Raw genomic sequence first — 19,813 nt, 5'->3', positions numbered from 1 at the left:
AGGAGGAGGAAGAGGAAGTGTTGGTCTTGCTATCTCAGGAATGGCAGAGGTGGAAGAAAATCTGTGTATAAGTGGATTCTTGCAGTTTAAACCCATGTTGTTCAACATTTTACTGTATTTCACACACATTGGTTTTTGCATGGAGTTATGAAGAAGACATACACTCCCTTATCCATTTAGTAGTGAATAAAATTGAAAAAACTGTTATTATTGATCATCTCCAGATAAAAATTTTCTAGTTCCTTCAACTCCACTGGCATGCATATCATATATAGTAAAATATAACATGTTAATTAGAGGACATATGTTGACTTCAAATACAGTTTTGCATGTGAAAAGACTCCAGGCTTAGTTCTTAAATACTGTAACAGATGCCTAATAATTGATGTTGAAAGTACTTTGTAAATCTTGCTCTAGGAAAAAGAGCTAATGATTCTCTTACAACCCCAGGAGTATTACATTACACTTCACCATCATTGACTGTATTTCAGGAAGGAGGGGCATATAGTTTGAACTACATCCTATCTGAATCCCTGTAATAAAGAGCCATGAATATGGGAATTCAGATGTGTATATTACATTGTATGTAATATTGAAAAATTATTATTAAAATTTAAATTACTACTTATTTTAAAATTTAAAATATTTAAATTTAATAAAATTAAAACCATTTAAATGTAATTACATTAAAATAATTTAAATTTAAAAATAAAAATTTTAAACTTAATTAAATTTAATCAAAATAATTTAAATTTATTTTAAAATTAAAATTTAAATATTACTTTCAAATGAATATTTAATTTTAAATACAATTAAAATAGAAATAGAAGCTGAGTAGAACTAGCCATGAAAACCTTTCTTTTAGTCTGGCTATTTCATGTTCTGCTTTAAAATGTAAGCAAAACAGATTCTTTTCAGTGCCAAAGTGTTTTTTCCCTAACCGAACTCAAATCCTTTGATTTAACAATTGACTCAGATTACTTTATTGGTGCACGAATTGTTATTTACAGTTCTTTTGGCCAAACCACAATAAGAAGTAGTACATACACCACAAGATGTTCAAATATTACTTTTTTAACTACCAGATGAATATATTTATTACTGCAATTATTGTGGCTACTCTGCATCTGGAAGCAAAATATTTAGCAATCTAAATAGCTTAGCATCTTAGTTAGGTTGCAGTTGAAAAGCATGGATCTGGGCTCTTACCTGGATCCTGCTACTAACGACAGGAGTGATTTCGTCAAATTATCAGGCCACTCTGACCCTCCGTCTCCTCCTCTCTTTTAACAGGGGCTGGGGCCAATGATCCATGTATAGTTCTAAAAGTGAATAGGTTGCTAGACACTGGCTGACATAGACTCCTAGGAGACACAGCCAAGGAAATAGTACACTGTGTCTTCTGGGCAGAACTCAAAAAATAAGAAATGAAATAATAATCAAAGTAAAATTCATTATTTCCTAATGATGTAAAACAAAACAAATCCTGTTAATCACCTTTGGAGGATGCTAGGGAACCAACTACTTATTCTGACAACTGGTACATAAAGGGAAAGAACTGAACATTTATCATTATTTTTTGTGGATGGGCTATACCTCAAGGTAATTGAATAGTGTATAAAGGAGAGTTCATTATACAATAATTCCAGCTAATAAAGGCAGAAAAAGTAGAAATAAAATGTTATCATTTTGCAACCCCCAAAAATGGCTCAAGGCAATGATCACAAATAGTTGTAAAACAATTAGGGGAAAAGCAAATGTGGAACTTTGTAGTGGGTAGATCAGGCTGACAACAAATGAAACCATTAGCCAATCTTAGTGTCACATGAAAAGACACCCAGGCATTATGGTGATAAGATGTAAAGTACAAAACCCCACCTATGAAGCATTCTTTCCAAATATATTGAACCTGAATACGCTGTAGATCTAATTTCTCATTTACAGGAAATGCAGGGAAGATAGGAATATACTAAAGATACTCAGAGATAAATTAAAATCTGGGAAATTTTACAACGCAAACAACCTGACCTGGTTTCTTCAACAAATAATTTAGAGGGAAGAAGAAAAGAAGAAATTCATAGAACAAGAGATATGTTACCAGATGCAGTGTATAGACCTGGTTTGAATCCTGTTGCAAACAAACTAACTCAATAAAGAAACCAAATATCAGACAATTGGGGGAAATTTGAATACTGATTGGATATCTGATATTATTAAAATATTTTGTTAATTTTTTAGGTGATGTATCATATTTTGGTTATGTTAAAAAAGGAAACTTTTTTTTTTTTTTTTTTGAGATGGAGTCTTGCTCCGTCGCCCAGGCTGGAGTGCAGTGGCGTGATCTTGGCTCACTGCAACCTCTGCCTCCTGGGTTCAAGTGATTCTCCTGCCTTAGCCTCCCCAGTAGCTGGGATTACAGGTGCCTGCCACCATGCTCAGCTAATTTTTTTGTATTTTTAGTAGAGACAGGGTTTCACCATGTTGGCCAGGATGGTCTTGAACTCCTGACCTCAAGCAACCTGCCTGCCTTGACCTCCCAAAGTGCTAGGATTACCGGCATGAGCCACCCTGCCCAGCAGAAAACATTGTTTTTAGAGATGTATTTGAAGTATTTATAGATGGAACAATATGATGTCTGGGATTTGCTTCAAAATAATCCAGTGGCAGGGTGGTGAGTGGGAGTGTACATGAAACTAGATTGCTCATGTGTTGACAATTGTTGAAAATGGATTTTGGCGCCATGGCACATGTATTCCTATGCAACAAACCTTCATGTTCTGCACATGTATCCCAGAACTTAAAGTATAATAATAATAAAAAAAAGAAAATGGGTTTTGGGCACATGAGGATTCATTATGTTACTTATAGTGAATATTACCTTATTCATTATATTACTCTCTGTTTTTGTGTATGTTTGAAAATCTGCCTAATTAATTTTTTTAATGGGAAAAAGTAATAAACACTTTGTGATAATTTATTAAATTCCATACTTAAGATTTGTGCAGGTTTTTGTATCAATGACTGTATTAGTCTGTTGCTACACAGAACTACCTGAGAATGGGTAGTTTATAAAGAAAAGAGATTTAATTGACACACAGTTCTGCAGGCTGTACTGGAAGCATGGCTGGAAAGGCCTAGGGAAACTTACCATCATGGCAGAAGGCGAGGGGAAGCAGGTACATCCTACATGGCCAGAGAAGGAGGAAGAGAGAGAAGAGGATAGTGCTATACACTTTTAAACAACCAGATCTCATGAGAACTCACTCACTTTCATGAGAACAGCAAGGGAGAAATCTGCCTCCATGATCCAGTCACCTCCCACTAGGCCCCTACTCCAACATTGGGAATTAAAATTTGACGTGAGATTTGGGTGGGGACACAGAGCCGAACCATATCAATAACTGTATTAGTTTCCTGTAGCTGCCTTAACAAATTACCACAAATTGGTGGCTTAAAATGACAGAAATGGACTCTCTCAGAGTTCTGGATGACAGAGGTCTGAAATCCAGCAGAGGTGTGCTCTCTCCTGTGGCTCTAGGGGAGGATCCATTTTGGGCCTCTTCCAGCTTCTGGTGGCCATTGGCATTGCTTGATTTGTGGCCATATCACTCCAGTCTCCGCCTCTATGGTCACATTGCTGCCTCCTCTTCTGTCTATGTAGTCTCCTCTTGCCTCTCTTATAAGGATATTTGTCCTTGGATTTAGGGCCCATCATATAGTCTAGGATGATCTCCTCATCTCAGAATTCTTAACTCAATCACACCTGCAAAACTTTTCCCAACATGCGGACATATTTTTTGGGAGGCCACCATCCAACCCACCATAATGGTGTATTTCAGTAGAAAGATTTGAAAACTAATAACTAAAAAGCACAGTTTATCTTTCTCAATTTCACAATAAGGAGTAACTGTCAGAGTTATTTCTGGTACAAATGTGTGAGATATCCTTGATTTTTTTCCTACCTTGTCGCACAAGCAAGTCCTGTCATTTTCACTAAAAAAAAGGTAAATGAAATCTTTCTAACTTCTTTCCATCTATACTCTCAGTGCTTTAATCTCATCTACTATATTCTATGATGGTCCTACTGATCTTCCTGGCTTCTAATCTCACCTCTCTCCCTTCCATTCTCTGCACAGAGCCAAGCAGAATAATTAATTAAAAACAAAACGAAAATTTATAATCTAATCACCATCTCTTCCTTGCTCTGTACCTGAAATGGTAGTCCATTGCTTCTAGAATAAAATCCAAACACTACCATGGCTTCAAAGGTGAGAATAAATAATTTATCCTCCAACTTTGTCTACACTTATCTAGGGCTATTCCCTTTCTTACCCACAACTGCCCAGCCCCACTGGCTTCTCCTCAGTGTCTTAAACACACCAAAGCCAACTCCAGTAAACGTAGACCTGGGAAAAGGAGACACCAGACAGTATTTACTATGAGAATTCTATTGATAATTAAGCAAATTGTCATTTTTTAAATGAAATAATAATTCATGATCGAAACAGTAATTTATGTTGGATACAGATACATTAGAAAACATGTAAATAAAATATAAATACTCATCCCTCTTCCACTCTCTGAGATAATGATATTTTCATATATATCTGTTCAGAATGTGTGCTTAAATATTACAAACGTATGATTGTATAACTTGGTAACTTGTTTGTTTTTTTTGAGATGGAGTCTCGCTCTGTCACCGAGCCTGGAGTGCAGTGGCATGATCTTGGCTCACTGTAACCTTTGCCTCCAAGGTTCATGTGATTCTCATGCTTTAGCCTCCTGAGTAGCTAGGATTAGCCACCATGTCTGGCTAATGGCTAATTTTCATATTTTTGGTACAGACCAGTTTTCACCATGTTGGCCAGGCTGGCTTCAAACTCCTGACATCAAGTGATCCACCTGCCTTGGCCTCCAAAAATGCTGGGATTACAGGCATGAGCCACTGCGCCAGATTATAACTTGTTTTTTTCCACTTAGCAATGAACTGAGACTGTTTTTTCATGTTATTACATATACCATTTCATCATTTTCTTAAGGCTTTTGATCCATATTTCCTAATCACCCGCCCCAGGACTTGTGCCAATCTGCATTCCCGCCAGCAGAGCATGAAAGTGCCCATTTCCCCACATCCCTGGACATCTTTTTAAATCTCAGCCAATCTGAGAGATGAAAAACAGCATCCTATTGTTCAATTTGCATTTCTTGGATGGTTATGACATTGAACTTTTTTTCCTGGTATTTCTCACCTATAGTTCTTTATAACTGTGTAATGAAGTATTTGGTTATATTTTAAAAAGAAATAGCAAACTAGCTAAAAAAGCATTTGTGAAAGCCACTTAGTGCCAAATTGCAGTAGCCCCGCCACCATGCCTGAGAGCACAGTTGCATCAATGCCTCGAAGCTGTTTGCTCTCCTGGATCTGAGCATACAGCCTGGGCTTTATAGACCTTATTAGGGAAGCCTCGATTTTCTTCTCGTAAAATATAAATCACAGAAAACCCTCCATGATCAGTTTTCAAAGTTATTGTTTGCATTTTCTGAAAATACACGTGGTAAAACAAGAAATTATAGATTTAAAATCTAAGTTTCAGAATGGCGCCCAGCAATTTGCACTTGCCATTGTCTGGGGTTTTGATCATCTTTAAGTTTCAGCATGGAGTTCACGTAACTTGATATATTAGCATAGTCAGCAATACATTTTCCCGTTACATTTATTTTAGAAAGAAGGTCAGATAAATGTGTAGGAAAACCTTCATTTTCCACATTATTTTTGAACAGGCAATTTTATTTTGCTTCATCTGAAAAAAAAAAATAACAGCAGGATATTTCAGGGCACCATGTCGGATATAGTACTGCAGATGTAAAAATGTATCACAAACTTGCTTGTGAGGCAATACCAGGGAATACAGCCAGAGTACTTCTAACTGTCCAAGGTCCTGAAATCCCACATTTTCTTGGTTTACAATTTTGTGTATTATTTTGAACTCAGAGTGTTTGCTCATTGAACAGACACATTCTATCACTTCATATTTCTTATACTCTATTATCATTCATGTGTATCTAAAGTTAATCCACTTGAAGGTTGCAGTGAGATGAGATTGCACCACTGCACTCCAGCCTGGGTGACAGAGCGAGACTCCATATCAAAAAGAAAGAAAGAAGGAAGGAAAGAAGGAAGGAAGGAAGGAAGGAAAGAAAAAGAGAGAGAGAGAGGGAGGGACGGAGGAAGGAAGGATGTCAGTCCACTTGAATATGGATCAACTGACTGAATAGAGCAATTTTATGTGTGATATAGTGTCATATTTTTAAGAGCTATTTTTCTAAAAAAACTTAATCAAAACAAAAAATGTAATAATGGTTGTGATTGTGAGACCAAATATTTTCTTAAAAAACTCAAAAACATAAACCAATGTGACCTAAATCACAGCTAAACAGAAAGCTCACTGTAAATAGAAATTCTAAAGAAAGAGGTCCAGGACATCAGAAATAAAATTAAATATTATGATTCAATAAATGCAAGTGCAGGAGTACCAAAAATAAAAAAATAACCTGTTAAATAGAAGGGACATGTGAAAACAATGTTTTGTTTTAATGGCAAATGTGGAGGGCCAAGGAACACGGTGTGCCATTTCATGGGAGGGAAGGGTGACACTGGAAAGACACACGGTGAATATTGCTTTAAAAATCTAGTCTTTACCAAAATCAAAGTTCAATGGTGACCAGATATGTGGCTCGTGCACCATCTGTGAGGGGAGCAGGTGGAGAAGGGAAGCCAAACTAGACCAAGAAGGAAGTGTCAGCATTTATCGAGAGAGCACACTAAGTAACTTTACGAAATAGGCTCAGTGAAAAGAAGATAAATCAGGAAAGATAGTTTCTTCCTTAAAGAAATGGGACAGACACAGAGTCAGACAGTCAGACAGACTCAGAAAATCAGCGTTTAACCCTTTCCTTGAACAACAAAAGCTCAGACGGGCAAAGTGGCTTACTCAAGTTCAGACCGCTTACCAGTGGCAGAGCTGAGACTAGAAATTAGTAGTTTCAATTTCTATTAGAGTGGTCTTCCCACTCTAGGACAGCTATCTCATATGTGAAAAACTTAACATTCATATAAACAAGCATGCACCACAGTTAAACACAAAGGGGCTGGGCACGGTGGCTCATGCCTGTAATCCCAGCATTTTGGGAGGCCGAGGTGGGTGGATCACTTGAGCCCAGGGGTTCAAGAGCAGGCTGGGCAACATGGTGAAGCCCATCTCTACTAAAAACACAAAAATTAGCCAGGCACTTGCCTGTAATCCCAGCTACTTGGGAGGCTGAGGCGAGAATTGCCTGAGCCCTGGAGGCAGAGGTTGCAGTGAGTGGCGAGAGCATCACTACACTCCAGCCTGGGCGAAAGAGCGAGACTTAGTCTTTAAAAAAAAAAAAAGTTAAACACGAAGGGCTTGAGAAATAGAGCACCTAAATGAATGGATGACGAAGGAAACGGTATAGAAAGGAGCTGTGTAACATGAGTCAAGAGAGATATGTCTGGCTTTATATGAATTTTAAGGAGGGGGAAGAGCATTGGCCAAGAGGTATGAGAAGGATGGAGGTGTTAATAGGCCCAAAGTTACTAAGGGGAACCCAGTAAATCACATGGCTTTTGGGATTTTGGGGCAAATCAGAGAAAACGTGGAGAAAAGACTTCAATAGTCCAACAAATAAGGGACAGAGGCGTTATAAATGCTTGATTAACCCAAATGCATCTGAAATGAGGAGTTTCGGATAACTGAAATTTCTGATTGTGTAACTTTGCTTTTTTCACAACTCCTAACTCCCATCATGCTTGCAAATGTTTCTTAAATACATTAGTCCATTTTATGAAGACTTGAAGCCAGTCAGAATATTTCTGTTCCAGTCCCAATTCTATCACAGACCAGCTGTTTGGCCTCAGGGAAGTCACCTTACTTCTCAGGGCCTCACTGTTATCTGTAAAACAAAGGGCTCTAGTACATTAGAAGTAACCAGACTTTGCATGGAAGAATCACCTGGTGGCCAGGTTTGGTGGTTCATGCCTGTAATCCCAACACTTTTGGAGGCTGACATGGGAGGATTGCTTGAGCCTAGGAGTTTGAGTTTGCAGTGGGCTATGAACCCAACACCGTACTACAGTCTGAGTGAGAGAGTGAGACTGTGTCTCAAAAAATAAGTCACCTGGGGCTCTGGGGCTCTTGTTGCATAAATGAATCTCCAGACCCCACCTTAGACCCACTGAAACAGGATCTCAGAGGAAGCACTTGGACCTAGGAATCTGCTTCTTGCCACTAAGAAATTTTGCAAAGCTCCCACTACATGATCTCCATGGTCCCTACTAATGATTATATTTATGACTCAGTTTTCTCACTGGAAGCTCAGAATTTCTAAAGCAACTGAATTTCTGTTTGATGGACTTAGGGTCACTGCGAATATGGAAAACATTGTAAGGTTCTCTAGCTTTCTATGGATAAAGGACAAAAGAATGGATACATGCACTAACTCCAGGTTATTTATTCTTTCTTGAATCTAAAATTGAATGGATGAGTCTTTGATGTCAGCTTATAAAGTTTATATACCAGGGCTGGGCATGGTGGCACATATTCATAGTCTCAGCTACTCAGGAAGCTGAGGCTAGAGGATCACTTGAGTTCAGGAGTTTGAGGCTATGGAGGAGTAGTGTGCTATGATTGTGCCTGTGAATAGCCACTGCACTCCAGCCTGGACATCATAGTGAGGCCCTGTCTCTAAGAAACAAATTCTATATGCCAGAAAAAAATATACCAAGTCCAATGTGCACATGTTACAAATAAAAGTCCTGGCACCAAAGACAGAAAATAATAGATTATTCTATCTCCTAGGAGTAGAGTAAAGCAAAGCAAACCATCACTAAAGTATGAGCTTTACTTGGTCTCAGCAGCTTCTTTAATAAAATAACAAGTTACCCAGCTGGTCAGAGGCAGAGTGTAGATTCCCCACTCCCAATATTTTAGAATTAAATTTATTATTTTCCTCATTCATGGCTCAATAGCAATGGGGGCATCCCTGTAATATCAAGTTCAAGCTTACTGTTATGATTTAAAGGAAGAACATGGTTATGATATTGCATAGCCATAATGTTTTGATTTCTTTCCAATGGAGAAAAATAGCACTTAGGAAAACAAGAGAAGCTGAAAATATCCAGAAACGACAAACACAATGATATATTTTCTCCCTCAAAACTAATCTAAACTTAATTTGAATTCATGTATGACATAAAGTACTTAAATATTCTCTTTCCAAAAATTGACCTTGAATGATTGGAATTCATCATATATTCTTGCTTATTGTATCCATCTGTGTATCTTATATAGAGGGCCAGAGCGTACAATTGTTCAGTTTGCACATTGTATACAGGCACTAGGCTGAGGTGGTGAGTGGGACTGAGAGCCAGTTCAAATTCTGGACATACTGCTGTGCTTCCTGGTATTGGCACATCCTTCCTGTCTCATACCCCACCCCTTGTCCCCAAGGGATGTCTTCTGAGGTGAACAAAGAACAAAGATACTGTCTCAAGTTAAGACAGTGCCATAGTGCGTTGTTTCCCACCAGAGGGGAGTGCCTTTCTCTATCTGCCATCTAGGCTAGCAGTGGCCATCTAGGCTGGCAGTGTTTGACTTTCTCTTCTACAACATTGCTGGAGGTAGTTTTAATTGAGTGAGTTCTGATTAGTTGAGATTTTACTACGGTGCATTATATAGTGAGGCAATAATTGATAAAGGTTTTCTAAAAATGTTGCATTCTTTCTACCTGAAGATTATAGTCACTTACAACGCTTTGGAACATGAAGACATCACTCTTTTGAAATTCTTCTTGAAAAACAAGGACGCAAATTTGGAAAAAAATGAAAAAGAATAGTTTTTCATAAAAGATACCATAAGATTCTTAGAAATTACAGTTGTCAACTGAACTTTGATTCCTGATGAAATTCTTTGCAGGTCCAAGAGGATCAGCATTTCAATGTGTATCAGTAACATTAGATGACTATTAAAAATATAGTACTGGGGCCAGGTACGGTGGCTCACACCTGTAATCTTAGCACGTTGGGAGGCCGAGGCAGGTGGATCATTTGAGGTCAGGAGTTCGAGACCAGCCTGGCCAACATGGTGAAACCCCGTCCATACTAAAAAGTACAAAAATTAGCCAGGCGTGGTGGTGGGCACCTGTAGTTCCAGCTACTGGGGAGGCTGAGGCAGGAGAATCGCTTGAGCCCAGGAGACGGAAGTTGCAGTGAGCTGAGATTGCACCACTGCACTCCAGCCTGGGTGACAGAGGCAAGACTCCATCTAAAAAAAAAAAAAACCTAAATAAAAACATAGTATTGGAATCTAAATATAGAGGCATTATATAAACTGGAAATAGATCCTCTTTCCGTACCTCAGCATTATTAATTGACCACTGAAAGAGTAGAGTAGGTTGAGCAACATAATGTGGTCTTATATTACACTGGATAAAAGTTGAAGTAATTCCAAGAAGACTGCATATCTGGGTAAATACTTCAGGATGGTCACATATTTGCCATGATTTCAGGGACATAACAAAGGTTTTCTCACCTCCCTCTCTACTCACCTCTTCCCCATACTTCTTTTATTTGTTTCATAATGTCTGATGGTCTAAGATTTATTTTTCTATACTTTGGCTTAAATGTTCACCTGGTGTTAAAAATGCAAATACCTCTGGGATAGGAATAACATTGTCTTTGAGCATCAGTTCTCTCAAAGAACACAGACAACACACTTTGATAGAGAGAATAATACAAGGGAATAGTACCCCAGAGTTGGGGAGGTAACAATGAAAAGGAAAAAGGGTCAAGAGTGTTTCAGCTGCAATTGCCAGAGATCAAAACTTTGTGTAATCATCTTGGCATTGGGAATGGTAATTTGACTTAGAGATTAGTGGGTCCCCAACTTCAGTCAGATAGCTCGGGTTTGATTTCTACTTCCATCTCTAACTAGCCTTGCTTATTTGGATAAGCAGTAACCTCTCTAAGCTCCAGTGTTCTCCTCAACAAATATTTATATGCCCAATACATGTCAGGTATTATTTTAAATTAAATCACAATAATATTGCCCATCTTCTAGGATTGTTATGAGAAATAAATGGGATAATCTTAAAAAGTGGTTGCTATGTGCCCGGTGGATAGTAAGAAGAATCTTATGGAACAAGTAATCCTAAAGATGATTCCTTTAATATGTGAATTCCTACACAGTTTACAAAGCACTTCCACATCTATTGCCTCCTTACAGCAACCCTGTAGGCAGAACTAGCCAGATATTTAGTGCTCCATTTTACAGGTGAGGAAACTGAATAAAGCTTGGCATGATTCACTTGGTTGGTTTTGCAGTGCTCCCTACTGAAAAGAACGGTGGGCTAAAATGTGCATAAGCTGGCCAAATACTTGTTCTTATTATGAACCCCTATTTTATAGATGCAGAAACTCGGTAAGGCTTAGAAAGACTTTGATTTTTTTTTCTGAAACTTGTAGTGAAAAAGAATGCTTTTAAGAAAAGTATGAGTTGGCCATATTAGCCTATACATGTCAGTAAAGGGGTAAAAAAGGGTTATTTGATATGAAGAAGAGGACATTGAACAATTTAATCTCCAATACATAACAGTTACAGAAAAAGACTGGTTTCTCCTCATCTTCACTTAAGTACTGAAAAATTTAAAGAAGAAAGAGATTTAGACTGGAAATAAGAGAATATTTTTACTCCACCGAAGTTTCTTAAATTTTGGAAAAGCCCATCAACAAAGGGTTTGGAATCTTTCACTAAATATATTTAGAAACCTTGAATAGTCATATATATTGGACTCTTATTTAGAAGTAGAAGACTGAACCAGTAATCTTGAAATGACCTCTTTGAAATCTGGTTTCATGATTCAGCAAACATTTAGCTGACTTAATTGTAGAAGAGGAAAGTTCTTATATTACATTTGTTCCAATGATATTCAAGCAAACAAATATTAGCTTTAAGAGCAGCAAAAATGAAATGAATTTATTTCACACATTCCCATAGGAGGTGGAGACTCTGTCTCACACTTGATCTTCGCTAAAAGGCTGAGAAGCAATGTGAGACTGTGTCTCACTTCCTACTGAACACAATTTTTTCTACTCTCCAGGCTATTCCAAGCCTTTCATAGGCTCTCTGGGAGAAGCATCTGTCCATATGCCCAGACAGTAGGTCCCTCTAAAGAATTTTCAACTCTGCCAAGTTGAAAGACCCTGAGAATAAGACTTGCTCATAAATCAATAGGTTATTGAAAGCACACATGCTTTCTACACGTCTTTAAGTTTGGTTCAAATTAAAACCTTCCTAGAACGACATGAAAATCAGAGCTCATTCATTATGGTGTGTGACCTTGCTGAGTTCTTATTTTTAAATTCAGTAAAATACCATATGTGCCTGTCAACTTGGTGTATATGTGTGAAAACACTCATCCATTCCTGAAACAAGACCTTTTGGATAAAAAACAAAGATAACTTCTTTGAATAAAGCAAAGACTAAGGAGGAGAGTGAGTGGAGCTACAACTGTCTTCCATTCTATGGATACTGGCACAGATGCCAAGTTTATAGAAAATGTTAACTTATTTTAATGATCTACTATGACCAGGAAATAATTTTCCCCCTTTGACTCAACTTATCTTTAGCTACGTCAGGCCATTAAACACATCAGAAAGCAAATGAGCTTGGATTCTGTGAAAAAAAAAATCAATGGCATTAGAAAAATATGAAGACGCTTTTCTAGAATAAAACACACTAAACAGAACAAGCAAATGCAATCTTTGATTGGATCCTGCTTGTCTTAGTCCGTTTTTGCTGGTTAGTTTATAAATAATGGAAATTTACTTCTCATAGTTCTGGAGGTTGGGAAGTCCAAAACCAAGGCTTGTTCTCTGCTTCCGAGATAGCATCTCCTTGCTGTGTCCTCACATGACAGAAGGGCAATAAGAGACAAGCTCATTCCCGCAAGCCCTTTTTTAAAAGGCACCAATTCATAAGTGGGAGGGGAGTCCTTATGACCTAATCATCTCCTAAAGGCCTCACCTCTTAAGACAATTACATTGGAGAGTAAGTTTTACATGAGTTTTAGAGAAACACATTCAAACTGTGGCACTGGTTTTTACCAAACAACTGTAACTTTTCTGTGTGTTTGAAAATTTTCAAAGTAAATAGTGGAGGGGAAAAGCAAAAATATTCTAGCTCCATCTCTTTAAAAAATTACCTGGGATTATGGTTTGGAAGTAATACAGAGAGAGAAAAACTCTAAAACTTGTTCTATAAGAAGAAGGACTATAGCTCTGTACATTTTTGGTAAGATGTTTGGCACAATGCTTTATAGGAGCATAAAAATATTGTCCTAAGGGTTAAGATTTTAAATAGAGAAACTTATAGGGAAAGAGGATGCAGTTCCTGGTTATGAATCATGTCCATCAGCCTGACACTTTAATTACAACTTCTTTGGAGTTTATAGTATATTATCCTCATTAATCCCCAATTAGAGGTTTGAGTCATCAAAATAAATCTGCAGGACTTACACACACAGAGTTCATTATGGAGCAGCCTAGCTTCACGCTTCCAGGTGTATGACATATGACACCCTCTGTCCTTTCACTTCTGATGTGTCTCTAGTTCTTCCAAGCCAAAAGCAGAGCCCAGGATTAGAGCAACATATATTTAAGGGTGTGTTTTTGCAGATGTCAGTTGGGACTAGAAAACAAATGTAGGCATGCTTAAACGCTGAGACCAATGTGGAAACTTCACGAGGTGGGGGTAGGGGGAAGAAAATTTTTGGTGGGGCACGTTTAAGTTCACGTTAATGTATAACGCTATCAATTTTACTACCACTGAGTGGGTATATGAAGGGGATGCTTGCGTGTCTGTGTGTATGTGTGTGTGGTAAAGGAGGGTGTGTGTGTGGCGGGGGGTATTTTCACAAAATGACATGGAAACCTGACTGCAGTTCTTTTGGGAAGAGGACTTGGAGGTGTCTTGGGGGTGGGGAAAAGATGGAAGACTGGGATTTCTTCTGGACTTCAGGGAAGAAGGATGAAACCAAAGGGAAACAATCCAAGGCAGATTAATGAATTTAGTCTAATATTTGTGAATTCAAAGTAGATTCTAATCAGCCCATCTCCTCCCTCTTCTGTTTGCAGAACTGGCACTAAAGAGGATTCCCCAAGCTGCTTCATCACTCCCTGCCATTCGCTGTCCCAGGAAATTCTCCTGACTCGCCCCGGAATCCGTGTTCGACTCTTCTCTGGCTGAGCTGTTCATTGCCAGCCACCCTGAGACTCCCCACGCGGCAGGCATCGTCTCCTCCGGTCTCACAGCTACCCCGGGCTGGAGCGTGGGGAGGGGGTAAGGGAGCCAGCCAACTCGGGGAAACTTCGTTGCCAGAGATGACTGGGGTTTTCGGGCTTTCCCAGCCTTCCCATGCCGGGCCACACGGCATTCATTAAAGTGGTGGGGCAACTATTGGTGCGCTCCAGCCGGGCAGGTTTTGAGCTGCAGAGACCCGTGCCCGGTAGCAGCGCTTTGCCACCGAGTGCACCCAGGACGCAGTGGCCGCCAGCCCGGGTCTCCTGCTGGGGGCCGGCGAGTGCAGGGAGACTTTGCGCCACGATGTTTTGTTTTCCTGCCGCAGGAACGCTAGGCAGTCTCTTTCCACCAGACTTAACCCGCCTGAAGCAATAGCCATGGAAGTTGCGGCGGCACAGAGGGAGACAGAACCGCTTGGAGCGGCATCTTTCTTGGATGTTTTTTCTCTACACAGACTTCTTTCTTTCCTTGGGTAAGTGAAGTCCAGCTTGTAAATAACCAAAGGGTAGAACCGAAGGGGATGGAGGGGGATTGCAGTAGCCCAAAGGGCTAAGTTTTCTTGGGAGGGAGGTCTCCCTCCATCCCCACTCCATGCAGTCCACTCCAAATACGCAGTTGAGGAGGAGTTGTGTTTGATTTCAGACACGTTTTGGGAAACGGTACTGGGATTTATTTACCTAATTTTGGTGGATTTTTTTTTGGGGGGGGGCGGGTAACTTGCTTTTGTCTACATTCTGAGAAAGGAGAATGAAAGTGGAGGTGAGAGAAAGCTCCAGAGGTTGGAGGTGGGGAAAAGAAAGGAGGGGGCGGCATCCAGTGATTAAGCAGAGAGATCATCCCAAGGGCCAATGACTAGTGCAAGTCTTCAAGGCAGACCAGGAGCACTAGACACTGATCCTGCTCCCTGCCCTAATAGAGTCTACCCCCACCTCCCCATCCCCAACCCTCCCCTTATAACCATCCTGCTGTTGCCATTCTGGGGAAGGTCATCACTACTCAGGGCCCCAAATAACTTTTAATGGGGACCTGCAACCTGTCTTGTACACAAGTGATGCTCAATAAATGTTTGTTGATTGGCCGAATGATGTTGCATCCTAAGGGTGCAGTTCCTGCCACAGGAATTTGCCTTGGACAGTGAACTAATTCCCCAATGCAGACCCCAGAACACAACCATAGGTCAGTTCATTTTGCAAAGGAGGAGGGCCTGGAGGCTTGGAAAATATCGTATTTAGACCTTCATTACCCAAACGAACCCATGGGACAGGTTCAGGGTCAGATTCATGGGTCCCGGGACTGGATGAGCTCACAAGGTTCTGGCATGGAGAGCATGGACCTTTGTGTCAACAAACTTGGGTTTGAATCCTCATATCGTGACCTTGGGAATGTTTCTTTATCTCTCTGAGCCTTGATCTTCTCATCTGTAAAAGGAGGCCAGTTACAGCTTCTGCAAAATGATCTAACAAAGATGAATGGAGAGGAAATATGAGATGGTGAGGGGGAATTCAGTAAATGTCAATCTTGCCTCCCCGTGCTCTGAGGACTCAGGAGAGGGTGTCTTTCTCTGCTGAAGCCCCTCTCTGACTCTGATGCATGTAAAAAACATTGTATTGCAGTGACTGTGCTAGAGTCCAGCTGTCCGTGAACAGTTAAAGAGAAGAGCGCAGAGGGAGGTTCGAAAGCCTTTCTTAGAAGCATCTCCCTCTGGACTTGAGAACAGAATTTACATACACACTGGTGTCTCGGGGCATGGCTGGGAGAAGCAGAGATTCCTTGTTTGTTTGATTTCTATGTCTTAGCCATCCTCCCAGTCCTAGTAGAGAGAGGCAAAGTGTGGTTACAGAGTCCAGGGAAGATGGTTCTGAAGCACCCGGGAACCTGCCTAAAGGGCTGAAGAGTCAGAGTAGCACCATCAGATTGGTACCAGTTTTGCCTGAACGGGGTTTGCAGAGAATTCAGGGCTCCAGCCTGGGGTGCCTGTGACAGCCCAGTGACAAAGCACTCACCTTTCCCACAGACCACAGCGGACCTCTGTAGGTCTTGCTCTTGGACTCAGAAACCTTGATGTGATAGTGACGGATGGATGGTGAGAAAGATGCTGCTGACATAGGGCTCCCCAGAAGCCTCAAGGTGCCGTAGAGTAGCATGCAACTTAGAGATCAGCTGCTAGTGTGGGATTTTAGGACCCCAGCTGGCAGGCATAGGAATGAGCTGGGCAATTTCTATGCGTAAGTAAAGGCAACAACAATCTAACAGGACCTTATGGCACTAGATAGTAAGCCCCATGAAGGCAAGATCTCTGTCTTGTTCTCTGCCATATGGCCAGCACATAGCACAGTGATGGCACTTGGAAGGGGTTCAATATATATGTTGAATGAACAACAAATTTTAGTAACCTTATCTGGAAGCCAGAGTAGGGGTTTAAACTACTTCCTATCCAACACTGCAGCATGCAATTCATGTCTTCATTTAGCAAGTATTTCTTGAGCACCTACTACGTGTAAGGCTCCGTTGCGAGGCATCCGAAGCAATTTGTCAGCATCATTCATGTTGATACTCGGAGTGACCCGTTCAAGAGCACCTCAGCACCACCTGGCTTTTCTGAAGACTGAGGCCCCACCACAAACCCCTGTGGGGCTTCAAGCAGGGGCAGTGAGAGGGCGTTAGACGAATGCTCCAGGTTTAGCCCCTTTCCGGGAACAGGTCTGGGTCCCTTCGCATCTGCCCTGCTGGTCCCAGGATCCCGGGGCCGCCGCTTCCGGGAGCTGCCGGGTCTTGGCAACTCCGCTTTCCTCCGGGGGCCCCCGTGCCTCTCTCAAGCCTCCTTTCCAGCCAACGACCAGCGGCCCCAGTCCGGCTGCAGGTAGCTGGGGAAGGGACCAAGCTGTGCCTTGGGAGCGAGCTTCCCCGGGCGGGGAGAGCGCAGCAGATGCGGAGCGGTCCCAGAACAAAAGGCTCATGGCTGGCACGGGCCTCCTTGGAGTGCGGCGGGGACGTGGGTTCGGGACTCAGGCGAGAGAGCCAGACGCGGGAGGAAAAAAAATGAAGTGAGAAAAGAGAAGGAGGGAGAGCTCAGGGTGAGAGCGGTGAGAAGAGGTGACCCGGAGGCCGAGGTCTGCGGCGGAGCCGCAGCGGCCCTTCCTCCGCCTCCTGCAGCGCCTTCCAGGCAACCAAGCGTGTCTCCGGCTGCAACTCCAGCAAGCGCGCCGCTGCCGCCTCCACGCCCGCCCGCCGGCCGGCCGAGCCAGTAAGTAGCGGCGCGCCCACCGCTCGTTCCCCGCCCCTCCGCGGCTTCCCCGCCACCGCCCACCGCCTCCCGCCGCCCCGCGGGCAAGTCCGCGACCGCCTCCCGCTGCCCCGAGCCGGGTGCCGGGGGCTCAGCGCGCCTTCCCAGCTGGGAGCCTCGGTCCGCTGCTCGCCCTGCTCCCTCTTGCCGGGGCGCGGCGTCTGGGGCGCGCCGCGGGGAGGGTCGCCCTCGCCGCGCGCTGCCCGGGCGCCGCGCCACCCCTACATCCAATGGCTTTCGGGGAGCGGGAAGTGGGGGGCGTCGCCGGGGGCGAGGAGCCGCGGCCGGGGTGGGGCGTGTGCGCTCAGCGCGGCCGAGCGAGGCTGACGTGCCCGCCCAAGCGCGCGCCCGGGAGTGTGTGTGCGGGTGTGTGTGTGCGGGAGTGTGTGCGCACACGCCTTCGGGGGCTGGAGTGACACTGCAGTGGGCTTCTCCGTAGCCCCAGCCTTCAGGCTGCGCAGCCCCTAACCTGCCGGCACCGCTTTTGGGAAGCAGCTTGGCTCTTCCATCTCCCCAAGCCTTCCTCTCCATCCTTTCATCCACCCCTCGCCGATCTTACTTTTTCTTTTACCCACGGGGCCGCGGCCGGCCACCCCCTGGCCGGTGCAAACACCCAAGCCCTCTCCAGTTCTCCCCCAAGCTAATATTTTCCCACCTGTCTTTTTCTGGGGTTCCTCCACGAGCCAGTCCAAGGCTCCCCCATCCTCGGAAATTGTTTTGTTGGACTGCTAAACCGAGGCGTGTAAAGCTTGAGGACTTTATTATTATTTGGGTTCTTTTCATTTCTTCCCCTTCTGGGCAACGAAGCAATGAAATTTCCAATCGAGACGCCAAGAAAACAGGTGAACTGGGATCCTAAAGGTGGGTGTTTCCTACTTTTGGCTGCCCTCGCCCTGCCTCTGTCTCCGGCGTGTGCGCGCTTCCTTGAGTGGAAGCACTCTTGCTTCTGGCAGCGTGTGTCCTGAGGCTGGGAAATGCGCCTGGGAACTGCAGCGCGGGTGGGAGGAGGGCGGAGGCAGCGTGGGTTCCGAACCCAGATAGTGCCTGTCATTACCACATAATCATTGTCCCTCCTAGATTGTCTCCAGATCTATTTAGATAGACCAAGCCGACTGTTTGGTTTGAAATTGCAAGTGTCGGTATTTGCTTTTGACTTTGAGTGTGCGAGTGTGTGTGTGTGTGTGTGTGTGTGTGTGTGTCCTTTGTTTCTGGTGATCTTTGTCTCTCTGGCAGATGGGTGGGGTGCTTCCCCCTGGACCTGGAGCTGCGCCGCATGCCCGGGTGTCCTCAGTGGGAAAGGTTTCCTGGCAGCAAGTGGGGCTCGAGTTGCAGCAGCCGTCCCTAGGGGTGGGCCGTTCTCGCAGGGCATGCAGAATAATGGAGCCCACAGGGCCTCCTGAGTCTTCGTTCAATCTTATTACCAAACCTAGCAGCTAGTTAGGCTCAGGTCAGAGTAGAAGCAGGAGGAGGGGTGGTTTGTGAGAAGGGTGGGGCTGGCAAGGCATAGGGGAGGGGCACGAAGTGTGCCCGCCCAAGCAATGGTGTGGTTTGCATGCTTTTACGAATGTTGGACCAGGTTTCATCCACGCAAAAGGGAGGGATTAAGACGGATTTGTGTGTGCCTAGCGTCGGCCACCGTGTCTGTAATTAGCATACAGATGTTAAGGCTCCAAGGGAGTGATCAGTATGAGAGCAGAACAAGTTGGAACCGCGTGTCCAGTTGTGACAAGAATGCTCTTTAGCATTTCTTGTAGCTCATCTGACGACTGTGTCAGGCTAGGCAACGCCTCTGTGTGTATTGGAATTGAAATTTGTTTATTTGGGGTGCGTGTGTGTTTAATGTTCTTTATGAGCGCATTTCTTCTTTTTCTCCAGACTGGAAAGAAGAAACCATCTTATTTGTTGAGTAAATGTCTTAGGAATTGACTGGCTATTGAAGAGTGAGTGAAGAGATACTGCCTTTTTAAAACACTGAGGCTGTTACATCTTAAATACAGCCCAAACCTTCTATTTTGTCTCTACTTGAAATCTCTGGAAATATGGAGGTGTGCCTTTGCTTTTTTGGGGGGAGAATCCCTGAAAAGCATATTTGTTAAATACCTATTACATGCTAAACACTGTCCTAAGCTCTGGAGATACAGTCAGAACAGGA

General features: G+C 42.8%; 1 protein-coding gene across 2 annotated transcripts in view, besides 4 other annotated features; it reads left to right on the top strand.

The window, feature by feature from the left end:
• The first annotated feature begins 14,356 nt into the window (after nt 1-14,356).
• The window catches only part of KCNK10 (potassium two pore domain channel subfamily K member 10), a 146,805-nt gene continuing 141,348 nt past the window's right edge, over nt 14,357-19,813 (top strand). Inside the window, exon 1 of one of the 2 annotated variants that reach the window (NM_021161.5) lies at nt 14,357-14,850. In NM_021161.5, coding sequence (NP_066984.1) covers nt 14,814-14,850 — 37 coding nt within the window. In that variant the 5' untranslated portion in view covers nt 14,357-14,813. Of the gene's footprint in view, nt 14,851-17,999; nt 18,523-19,813 lie in introns of those variants that run through there. The other variant, NM_138317.3, reaches the window with a different exon arrangement.
• Nucleotides 14,543-15,057: an enhancer, noted in NCBI's record as "H3K4me1 hESC enhancer chr14:88792556-88793070 (GRCh37/hg19 assembly coordinates)". NCBI's record gives its function as "activates a minimal SCP1, AML or CMV promoter by ChIP-STARR-seq in naive H9 embryonic stem cells {active_cell/tissue: H9 hESC(naive)}" and the evidence as "EXISTENCE:reporter gene assay evidence [ECO:0000049][PMID:30033119]".
• Nucleotides 17,363-17,422: an enhancer, noted in NCBI's record as "active region_8837". NCBI's record gives its function as "activates an Ori minimal core promoter by ATAC-STARR-seq in GM12878 lymphoblastoid cells {active_cell/tissue: GM12878}" and the evidence as "EXISTENCE:reporter gene assay evidence [ECO:0000049][PMID:35858748]".
• Nucleotides 17,473-17,712: a silencer, noted in NCBI's record as "silent region_5990". NCBI's record gives its function as "represses an Ori minimal core promoter by ATAC-STARR-seq in GM12878 lymphoblastoid cells {active_cell/tissue: GM12878}" and the evidence as "EXISTENCE:reporter gene assay evidence [ECO:0000049][PMID:35858748]".
• Nucleotides 17,995-18,654: an enhancer, noted in NCBI's record as "H3K4me1 hESC enhancer chr14:88788959-88789618 (GRCh37/hg19 assembly coordinates)". NCBI's record gives its function as "activates a minimal SCP1, AML or CMV promoter by ChIP-STARR-seq in naive H9 embryonic stem cells {active_cell/tissue: H9 hESC(naive)}" and the evidence as "EXISTENCE:reporter gene assay evidence [ECO:0000049][PMID:30033119]".

This window comes from Homo sapiens, chromosome 14 (genome assembly GCF_000001405.40).
Source record: "Homo sapiens chromosome 14, GRCh38.p14 Primary Assembly".
Taxonomy (NCBI): domain Eukaryota; kingdom Metazoa; phylum Chordata; class Mammalia; order Primates; family Hominidae; genus Homo; species Homo sapiens.
Note: the sequence above shows the minus strand (reverse complement) of the source record. Positions and strands in the feature narration are given on the sequence as shown.